Genomic DNA, 11,868 nt, shown 5'->3' on the forward strand with positions numbered 1-11,868 from the left:
AAGTTGGAACAATTGTACACTGTTGATAGAAATGTAAAATGGTGCAGCCACTGTGGAAAACAGTGTAGCATTGCCTAAAAACGAAAAATAGACCTATCATACAATCTAGCAGTCCCACTTCTGGGTATACAGCCAAAAGAATTAAAATCAGGATTGTAAGGAGGTATTTGCACTTTTGCACTTTTATGTTTATCTCAGCACTATTAACAAAAGTCAAGAAATGGAAACAATTGAAATGTCTATGACTGATGAAAGTGGCATGTACATACAATTGAAATAATTCAGTCATAATAACAAATGGAATCCTGTCACATATGACAACATGAGTGAACCTTGATGAAATTATGCTAAGTGAAATAAGCCAGTCACAGAAGGACAAATACTGCATGATACCACTTATAGGAAGTATATAAAATAGTCCAACTCATAGAAACAGAGTAAATAGTGCTTGTCAGAGGCTGAGGGAAGGAAAAATAGGTATTAAGTAGGTATGAAGTTTTATCCATGAAAGATGATTGAATTCTAGAGCTGTGCTGTACAACACATTGTATAAGTGTTAACAATACAGTATTGTACACTTCAAAATGTGTTAAGAGGATAGATCTCATGTTGTTTCTCACCACATTAGAAAAAAAAGTGTATAAGAATCATAGTGTTTGTTTGTTTGGTTGGTTGGTTTTTGTTTTGTTTTGTTTTGTTTTGTTTTGTTTTGTTTTTTGAGTTGGAGTCTCACTCTGTTGCCCAGGCTGGAGTGCAGTGGCACGATCCCACTTCACTGCAATCTCTGCCTCTCAGGTGCAAGTGATCCTCCTGACTCAGCCCCCCTAGTAGCTGGGATTACAGGCATGCACCACCATACCCGGCTAATTTTGTATTTTTAGTAGAGACAGGGTTTCATCATGTTGGCCAGGCTGGTTTCGAACTCCTGACCTCAGGTGATCCACCTGCCTCTGCCTCCCAAAGTGCTGGGATTACAGGATTGAGCCACCGCACCTGGCCAGAATCATAGTCTTTAGAGCAAAACTGCAATATGGAAGTACACAGGAGACATTCAGGGGAAGGTTTTGACACATAAAAACTGTTGAGTTCCTTGAGTTTTCCATCATTGTAGGCAGCAGAGATTCATGTAAAGTTTGCTCTGACAGTACTCTGGCTGCTGCTCTGGCATTTAGTGACTTAAAATTCAGTCCCATCCTGCACTCAAAGTCCCTTGAAACTAACATTGATTCTCCAGTCTCTAAGCATTGTTTATGATTATTAGTGCACATAACAAGGCATGTCGCTGAGATAGAAGAAAGGGCATGATGGAAAAGTCTTATACCTTGGTGGTTTAACGCTTGGACCTCTGACTTTCTTCTTCTACTTCTACAATCTCCCAAGAATATTCATTGGCTCTGATCATATAGAGACCCTTATTTAAAAGGACTCAGGAAAAAAAAAAATGGATGGAAAATACCATGGAAGTATAAAAGGAAGTACAATCTATAAAACTGCATGCCCCAAATGCCCATCAATGATAGACTGGATAAAGAAAACGTGGCACATATATACCATGGAATACTATACAGCCATAAAAAAGAATGAGTTCATGTCCTTTGCAGGGATGTGGATGAAGCTGGGAATCATCATCCTTAGCAAACCAAAAGAAACAGAAAACCAAACACTGCATGTTCTCACTCACAAGTAGGAGTTGAACAAAGAGAATACATGGACACAGGAAGGGAAACATCACACACTGGGGCCTGTCATGGGGTGAGGGGCAAGGGGAGGGAGTGCATTAGGACAAATACCTAATGCACGCGGGGCTTAAAACCTAGATGATGGGTTGATAGGTGCAGCAAACCACCGTGGCACATGTATTCCTATGTAACAAACCTGCATGTTCTGCTCATGTATCCCATAACTTAAAGTAAAATAAATAAAATAAAATGAATAAAAACTGCATGCTATGCTATATACATTGGTGCTGAGAGTTTACAGGAGACACTAGGGTTTGTTACAGACAGATTATTTAAAGAAAAAATTGGAAAAGAGTTCTATTTTTTATTAGAGAATTACGAACTTGAGTAATAAGTAAATTTTCAAATAAAGTTAAGGGGTAAATAATCTTAGAGGACCTGAAGTGAAAAAAAAAAACAAACTTTATTTTTTGAATTGTATTATCTAAATGCTCTGGCCCATTTAGAAGTCAAAAATTAGAGAGATTTTAAAATGAGAATTATATATTTAGATATATTTTACACCACTTTACAAGGGCAGGAATAATTTGGAGGGCTGCTGTATTTGGCCATGGTTATCACCTCTGGGAGGGTCTGTACTTTACATGACAGTTTAATCAGCACTGAACAGCTTGCCTCAGCCTCTGTTTAGGCATCAGAGCAAAGTGATCTGTTTGATCTCCTAGACTCAGAAACTTAAAGAGATGCTTTATATCCAAAAATTCTAAAGTCTTCTCAACTGGAATCACTAAAATCCCTACCTGTTTTCTGTGGATCTTTTGGAGTTCAGCTTTTTCTGCTGATTACCAATAAAGACAAATATTTTAACTTAAATGTAAAACTATTTTTCTCATAAAATTTTTATTATTTTAAATTTTTACTTTGTGTTTCTCCAGAAATAGTTTTTATTTTAAAATTCCTCCAATTTTGACTTATAAATGAGTTAGAACAGTAGATAATGTCATTCAAAAAATTTTACAAGGCCTTTTGCAGTTTACTGTAGCCACCTTGATTTATCACTTTAGGTCTTCTAAGGTTATTTGTCCCTTGACTCTTTGCTTACAGAACTGCAAACTTGAGCAATGTATAAGTTATCAGATGTATATATTGCTCATTTATAATTCTCTAATCAATGAAATAGAACTCTTTTCTTTTCCTATCTTGATCATCTCTCACTTTCTTATTTATTTTATTATCTTTCTGTTGACTTATTTGGTTTTACTGCTTTGAGTAAGAAAAACCCTAAAACCATGGTTTTCTTTAATGCAATTAACTATGTAATTGAAATTGGAAGACAGCTTAGGCCAACAGAACATACACTGATTTAAGTTCTGGTTCCAGCATTTAATGATCAGATGATTATTGGAAATTTACTTAAAATATATTAAGCATATAATAAGTACAGTAATGACTAATCCCTATTCCAGAAAATCATTATATGGCCCAATTTAGGTGGCAGACTAAAAAGCATTTGCATGTAAGTCTACATAGTAAAATAATTATTATTGTAAACTGATTTGAATAATGTCAACCACATATATTTAAGCCTTTAAATTTATATATTTCATTCTGAATCATTCAATTTTCAAAACCAGAATGTAAAGGACAGGGATTTGATATGGGATAATTTCTCATAAAGCTAAGTACTTATCTCTTAAAGAACAATTTTGCAACGTATCATTAGCATATCTTGCATAAAATTGCTTCATGCTCCTGTCCACTAATAATTATCTCTGATTACAGCAACCCCGAAGGGAATTATCTAAGCCTAAATTTTCAGAAGCTTTACAAAACCAGCATACTTGGTGATGTGGTCCCACTCAGGGAAATAAACTTAAAAAGAGCTCGATGGAAGAATATAATTTCTCATTTGAATAGAGGCAAGTAGGAAATAAAGCCAAGTGTGGAACTAAATGTATCATTGCCTTCAAAGTCATGACTAAACTATGAAGTTTAATTACTATGTTTATGGTACTAGAGTCTCAAGATATTAATGAAAGCCCCATTTAACATCTAGGTTTATGTCAGTCATACAAATCTAAGTGGATTAACTGTTGTATAGCTTCATTTTACCATTAAAAATTGTCTCTGTGGGCCAGGTGCTGTGACTCAGGCCTGTAATCCCAGCACTTTGGGAGGCTGAAGTAGGTGGATGACTTAAGATCAGGAGTTCAAGACTAGCCTGGGCAATATGGGGAAACCTCGTCTCTACTAAAACAAAACAAAACAAAACAAACAAGCAAAACAAAAATTAGCTGGGCGTGGTGGCGAATACCTGTAATCCCAGTTACTCAAGAGACTGAGGCATGAGGTTCACTTGAACCCAGGGAGGCTGAGGTTGCAGTGAACAGAGATTGTGCCACTGCACTTTGGTCTGAGGGACAGGGCAAGATTCTGTCTTAATGAAAAAAAATTGTCTCTAAGTGAAAATATACTTTCTTATCTTTACACATTCTCTCCCCTATCCCTGCCATTTTCTGTTGAATATGAAAATAGTCTGAGTTTCCTTTTCTATAATGTATAGCTTCAAGAGATAAAGGCTGCCTCTAATTATTCATTTACTCATTCAGCAAACTATTATAGAGAGTTTCTACAGGCAAAGCATTCTGTTAAGCATTGGGAATGTGGAGATAAACAAAGTAAGATACCTTCTTTCAAGTAGCATACAAATTAGAAAAACATAAGATATATAAACTGTGACATAAGAAAGTATAAAAATCATGCCAAATAGAGGGTCCAAACAATGTGTTATAGAAACAAAGAAATGTGTGTTTACTGCTCTATGAATAGGCTGGAGAAGACCTCAGGGGAGAGACAATATTTTATACCTCTCACTGAATTCAAAAAATAATAAACCAAGGACCTGTGTACAGTTTTATCTTACTTTCTTTGAATTCTATAGTTAATCAACCTCTGAGGACATTTACTAAGTCCACAGAGATAATAAGAACAACTAAACATCATTTACTACCTGTACACCAAAAAAGGAAGCACAGCAGCAACAAACACACTGAACGTATTAATGTAAATATTTGTATAAATATTCTTTGGTAATTAAGAGGTGTGTATTTGGTCTTATTTGACATGATGTGTGCATATCATTGATTGGCACATGTGCTTTTTTATTGCTTCCTTTATCTCTTTATTCCTCAGACTACAGATGATTGTGTCGGTGACAGCACTGCAAACATTAGGCTGATGGTTGTGTCCCAGAAAAAGGAGTACTTGGCAGAGAAGAGCAGGTACATCAGGGCTACACTTCCAAAAAAGATTAAGAAAATAGCAAGGTGGAAAGCATAGGTAGAAAATGCCTTTTGGCATCCATCAGCAGAGCAGTTTCTTAGGATCACTGCAATAATTTGGACGTAAGCCAAAGTCACAAGCATTATAGCTGTGATGATCTCCACAGCATGTACAATGTCCACAACCTTGATTAAAACAACTGGGCCAGTGTCTACACATGCTAGATTCAGGATAGGATCAAGGTCACAGAAAATGTTGTGGATTTGATTTGGACCACAAAATGGCAGTGTGGATATCCAAGCAATCTCAGGGAGCAGCGTGAAGAAGCCACAGATGCAACAACCTAGAATCACCTGAGTGTAGAGCTAAGGTGTCGTGACTGTGGGGTAGCAAAGGTGATTACAGATGGCCAGGTATCTGTCCATAGCCCTGGTGGTGAGCAAGCAAACCTCAGTGATGCCGAGGGAGTAAAAGAAATACATCTGCAATAGGCAACCATCCAGGGAGGTGGTCTTCTGCTCACTGGCTAGGTTGAAGAACATCTTGGGGATGGTGATGGTGGTATACCAGATCTCTAGGAAGGAGAGGACACTGATGAAGAAATACAAGGAGCTGTGCAGGCAGAAATCCAGTTTGATGGCAAAGAACACCATAAGACTACCAATGATGGTGAATAGGTAAATGAGGAGCAGAAGGATAAAAAACAAAAGCCAGCTGGGCGCGGTGGCTCATGCCTATAATCCCAGCACTTTGGGAGGCTGAGGCGGGTGGATCACCTGAGGTCAGGAGTTCGAGACCAACCTGGCCAACATGGTGAAACCCTATCTCTAGTAAAATTACAAAAATTAGCTGGGCATGGTGGCAGTCGCCTGTAATCCCAGCTAGTCAGGAGCCTGAGGCAGGAGAATCACTTGAACCCGGGAGGTGGAGGTTGCAGTGAGCTGAGATCGTGCCATTGCACTCCAGCCTGGGTGACAGAGTGAGACTCTGTCTCAAAAAAAAAAAAAAAAAAAAAAAGAAAAAAAGAAAAGAAATCTAGGTGTGTATGAGCTTAGACTCTCCCTGGGTGGGTCTAGTGCGGCTGCTGTTGGGGATCGGGGTGAGGTTCCCAGGTCAATGGAGTTGTGTACCTAGGAGGAATACGGCTGCCTCTGCTGAGTTATGCAGGTTGTCAGGAAAGTGGGAGAAAGCTAGAGAACATATATGAAAAGAAATCTAGAGAACATATATGAGAATAGATAATAAGGATATGTAAAAATAGTGGAAGGAACATAAAGTTGGATCAAGTTAAATTTATTGATATGGGCTCACTAAGCAGAGATTTTGAATTTAATGTTCCAGCTCAGGGAGTAGGAAAGGGATGCAATAGGTTGGTTGGTTGGTTGGTTGGTTGATTGATTGGTTGAAAGATGGCTCAAAAGATGACCCACCAAAAGCAGAGGAAATGCTTGAAATTGGACTGTTATTCCATAGATTCCACAGTGAAGGGAAGGAAGAGTATGTCTGGTACACAGGAGATTCTTTAGCACGTCTTTTAGTATTTCCGTGCCCTGTGATTAAGGACAATAAAAAATTACAACACCACAATCCAGAAAGGACTACTAATGACCAAGATCCTTGAGGAATTAATGTTCGGGTCACCATATCAGTTAAGGAACTATGACCAATAGATGTGCTTGATGAAGGCAAAGTGAATACAGAATGAGTAGTAGGAGAAGGTAGTTATAAATACTAGCTATGATAACATGACTAGTTATAAAAATGGAAACTATAATTATAATTGCCAGGAGTGTTTCCTCCTTATTTTGTTGTGAACATGTTTATATATACTCACACACATATATATACACACACATTAGCAAATGTGTTTTCTTTCCTCTCTTACTTTTATCATATAACATAAGACACATTGCTTTATATCAATATTTAATAATTGTTAATTTTACATCATAGTATTTAAGTTATATTAAGAAAAAAGTAAACATCACTCAAGGATTTACTGCCTCTTCTGATCCTTTGAAACCCTAAATAGAACAAAAAGGTAAAGGAAAGGCAAATTTGTTTTTGTTTTGAGATGGGATGTTCATCTCCTTCTGCCTTTGGACACTGGGTGCTCCTGATTCTCAGGCCTTTGGATTTGGACCTGGGTTTATACTATCAGTTTCCCTTGTTTTCAGGCCTTCAGACTCAGGTTAAATTATGTCACAAGTTTTCCTGATTCTCTAGCTTATAGGCAGCAGATCATGAAGTCTGTGGTCTCCATAAGCATATGAGCCAATATTTATAATATATTTTTATAGATAAATAGATAAATATCCTATTGGTTCGGAGTCTCCAAAGAATGTTAGATAATACATCTCTCTATTTCCTCAAGAATATAGCTAGAATATTTAAAAATGTAGCATGGTAGTTAAGAGAAAAGCTTTTGAACAAGCAGAGACCTGGGTTCAAATTATAACTCAGCTTCTTACTAAATGTGTATCCTTGGACAAAAGCTTAAGCCCTATTAGCTATAGTTTCCTCCCTCTTAAAGCAGTACTGATATTAATACCTATTGCAAAGAATTTCTATAAAGTAATGTATGTGTATGTGTGTGTGTGTATGACAATGTCTTAAAAGTGAAGAGTGCCCAATAAGTGGAAAATTGCATTAATATTATTATCAATAAATATAATTACAATTGTGAATATACTAGGTATATTAGTCAGGGTTCTCTAAAGGGACAGAACTAATAGGATAGATGTATTATTAAAGCGTATTGACACACTATCACAAGGTGGGGTACCACAATTGGCCATCTGCAAGCTGAAGAGCAAGGAAACCAGTCCGAGTCCCAAAGCTGAAGAGAAACTTGGAGTCTGGTGTTCAAGAACCATAGAGCGTGGGAGAAAGGTGTAGTCCCGAAAACTAAACCAGTTTAGTCTTTCCACGTTCTTCTGCTAGCTTTTATTCTGACTGCACTGGCAGCTGATTAGATTGTGCCCACCCAGATTGAGGGTGGATCTGCCTTTCCCGGTCCACTGACTCAAATGCTAATCTCCTTTGGCAACACCCTCACAGACACACCCAGGAACAATACTTTGCATCTTTCAATCCAATCAAGTTGACACTCAATTAAACATCACATATGGTATTTTATTATTACTAGTAAAAATTTGATTAATAAATGCAGTGCAATGTTAGGTAAAATAAATATATTTAAAATTAACAGGGAATAAGTTAGCAGTTTCTGTCCTCTCCAGGCCAGAAGGCATATATTTCCTTAATCCTGTGTATTCACTAAGAGCACATTTACAAGGTAACAGGAACATCAACACACGATGAACTTTTTTTCTCTGTTTTATTTTCCCTTGTTTTTCCCACAGCTTGGAATTTTTTTTTATTACATGCATGCACACACACACACAGAGAACTAGGAAAATTACTTTATGTTCATAATTTGAAATGAAGGTATGTTTAATCACAGAAGTTTTTAAGGCAGGCTAATAAAGCAATCAGATTTAAGTTGTAAGAACAGCTCAGTTTGCAGTAGGGAAAGAAGCTTGAAGTTGAGAAAGTATGGATGTAAGACAGGTAGTGTTAGCTATATTATTTTTTAGGGATATTGATAATATTTAGGAAATGATTATGTATTGAAAAATTTAAAAGTAGAGAGGACAGAGAAAAAATGGTGTGACCCTTTCACATAATGGAGCTTTATGTAGATCAGCTCTGTAAAAATATTGCACTTACAACAGCATCAATTAGTCAATAAATTGGAAAAATAATGACATTTTTCGTGTCACTTGAAGAATATTAAAAATACATGACTTAAACTCAGTGATACTTCTTGCATTTCTTTTTCCCTCTGTCCTCTTGTTCTTCAACCAAGTATCCCTTAAAGCCTTTCTCTTACCCAGACCCCCTGCACCCACAATCAACAGGTTTTCTCTGATTTTTCTTCTCTTCTGTATCCCAGACTTTTATTTGATAGCATTAACCCTTTTTATAAGATCTCTCCTTAACTTGTCTTTCCATTTTATTTTAAAATATCATAAGATTTAGGAGTAAAAGTAATGAAAGGATTGTGGCACAAAAGTGGGGAAATCACACTGACAGCTATAGGATTTGTGTTGGCAGGCTAGAGAAGGGTAAAAATTTATTAACATTTGCACAGTAATAAGCTTTATCCTATCCCAGCTGAATCATGAGCCCTGGAGAAAAATCGCTTTTTATAAAGCATGTATGACATGAAGACTCAGCAAGAGAAAGAAGCGTCAATGAGGTAGGATAAAAAAGAGTTTGGAATCCTAAAAGCCAAAGAAGAGAGCTTGAAAGAGTTGTTGCCTAACACAATTGGTCGATTGTCTAAAACAATCAGAATGCAGCATGGCGGTATGTTGGTTTATTCATTCAACAGATCATTTTTATGTTTATTACTTAATATGTACAATGCATTTGATCACAGTGAATGCAACATCTAGGTTTTTTATGTATCATGAAAAAACTGATTATTTAATGAGTAACAATTAAATTGCTTATTGATCAATACTTGGATACTCAATTTAAAAATTTGAGTCATTCTTCAACTATAGAAGCTAGAGGCACCATGGATAAAACTTAGTCTTATGAAGGATACTTTTTAAATTACCAGGTCTTACAGACAAATATTTTAATTGCTTTAAAATTAAAGTAAATGTTTATGCAGAACATTTCAACAAAATGAATTTACTTTGAATAACTTGAGTGGCAGAAACTGTAATTAATAAAGTCAGATTGAAAAATATGTCTAATTGAGTAATGATTAAATAGAAGTTATTGACGTTAGCTATTGCTGAATTTGTTTCCTTTTGTTTGGTTTGGTTTGGTTTGGTTTGGTGAGCTTTGGGAGACCAGTTTGAATAGAAGGTTGATAGGAAAAGACAGATTGCTGAGAGCTGAAGGTGAAGAGGAACCAGCAACTATACAGAATCTCAACTAAAATATCTTACTTGAGGTCCCTGGTCTTACGGAAAAAAATATCTTAGCTTGACCTATGTGCTTTTTTATAGCTTCTTTTATTTCTTTATTCCTCAGGCTATAGATAATGGGGTTGAAGAAGGGAGACAAAACTGCAAAGGCCAGAGCAATGGCTATATCCCAGAACAAAGAGTAGGTGGCAGAGAAGCGTAGGTACATGAGAGTCACACTGCCAAAGAAGAGCGAAAAGACAATGAAGTGAGAGACACACGTGGAAAATGCTGTGCGGCGGCCTCCAGCTGAATGAATACGTAGAATTACAGCCACAATACCATCGTAGGACATGAAGATGAGCATCACAGCTGTAATAATCTCCACTGCATGAATGACATCCACTACCTGAATCATGACGATGGCTCGTGTGTCTGTGCAGGCCAGACGCAGCACTGGGAGGAAGTCACAGAAGATATGTTCAAGGTGATTCGAACCACAAAATGGCAGTGTAGAGATCCAGGCAATCTCAGGAAGGGGTGTGATAAAGCCACAAACACAGCAACTTAAAGTCAGTTGGGTACATAGCTTGGGGGTCATGATAGAGGGATAATGAAGAGGGCTGCATATGGCCAGGTAGTGGTCAAAGGCCATAACTGTCAAGAGACACACCTCACAGATGCCGGTGGAATGGAAGAAATACATCTGCAGGAGACAACCATTGAAGGAAATGCTCCTCTCACTAAGCAGGCTAGACAGCATCTTTGGGATTGTGGCTGTGGTATACCAAATCTCCAGGAAAGAAAGAGCACTGATAAAAGTATACATGGGAGTGTGGAGGTGAGTATTCAACTGGACCACTGTGATGATGACCAGGTTTCCAACAACAATGAAAGCATAGATGAAGAGCAGTGGAACAAAGCAGACAACAGACTTAACCCAGGAATAAGGGAAAGCGGAGAAGATAAACTCCTGAATGGTGGTTCGATTGGGGCTCTCCATCTCCAAGTTGAAAGTGAGAGTTTCAATTTCCAGTGCACTCAAGCCTTCTAGGAGGCATCTACTATTGGATAAAGGAATACACTTACAAGAAGCCAGCGTCTGAATAGAGCCCTGTAATGGGGATAGAGAGGAAGACAAGGAAGAAGGACATGGTCCATATTCTATAGTTGCTTACGACTTAAGTTGTAGTGTGGAAAAAATCCAGTCAGAAAGCACAGTCAATATTTTGGATGTGAGATTCTCAGATATATTAACATGCATCAGAATCACCTGGAGGGCTTGTTAAAACTCATATTGCTGGTCCTCATACTGAGAGTTCGGTCCTAATCTGTAGTTCTGAGGTAGGACCCAAGAATTTTCATTTCTAACAAATTTTCAGGCAATGGTGGTCCTGCTGGTCAGGGGACTATATTTTAAAACAACTTTGTTTAGGCGAATATAGAATTAGACAGAGCATTGAAGGAATAATCAATAATTAAGAGGACGTTCTTTTCGATATTTAAATCTTATTGATTCCCTAATAATCTCCCCACATTGTTCCATATATTTTTTCTTCAAGCTCCCAGTTTATTGGATTCTTGGCATATGATTTGATTGGCATATTTTTATAATAAAGACAAAACCATTACTGGTGAATTCTTTCAACCCTCTTTCTCTAATAACTCTTCCTCTCTTCATATGTATATTCTTAACCATAATTCAGAGAATATTTGGAGAAGAAAAGCCATATAAATAATCATAAGTTATTTTACCTTGTTTTATAAGATAGTCTATTCTATCTCCTTCCTTTCCTTCTCTTCTACGTCTTCTTGGTAAGGAGATCTTAAAGGGGTTTTGTACCAGAAGCCTTTGGTCAAATGTAGTAACTTATGAAAACTAACTATATTAATAAATAAATGCTTAATATAGTTGTACACTTGCTCTGGTACAATTGAATGGTGGTAGTTAGAAGGAAGGGCAGAGCTGCAGTGCCCTG

General features: G+C 37.2%; 1 protein-coding gene and 1 pseudogene across 1 annotated transcript, besides 1 other annotated feature; both read right to left on the minus strand.

Annotated features, from left to right (window-relative positions):
- Positions 2,171-2,500: a transcriptional cis regulatory region, noted in NCBI's record as "candidate enhancer chr1.9296 targeted for multiplex CRISPR interference". NCBI's record gives its function as "positively regulates SPTA1 gene expression with high confidence in K562 cells {active_cell/tissue: K562}" and the evidence as "EXISTENCE:mutant phenotype evidence [ECO:0000015][PMID:30612741]".
- OR6K1P (olfactory receptor family 6 subfamily K member 1 pseudogene) lies at positions 4,779-5,749 on the minus strand (annotated as a pseudogene).
- On the minus strand, positions 9,918-10,892 carry OR6K2 (olfactory receptor family 6 subfamily K member 2). Its single transcript, NM_001005279.3, has one exon. The coding sequence runs from the start codon at positions 10,890-10,892 to the stop codon at positions 9,918-9,920; it is 975 nt and encodes a 324-aa protein (NP_001005279.1).

This window comes from Homo sapiens, chromosome 1 (genome assembly GCF_000001405.40).
Source record: "Homo sapiens chromosome 1, GRCh38.p14 Primary Assembly".
Taxonomy (NCBI): Eukaryota; Metazoa; Chordata; class Mammalia; order Primates; family Hominidae; genus Homo; species Homo sapiens.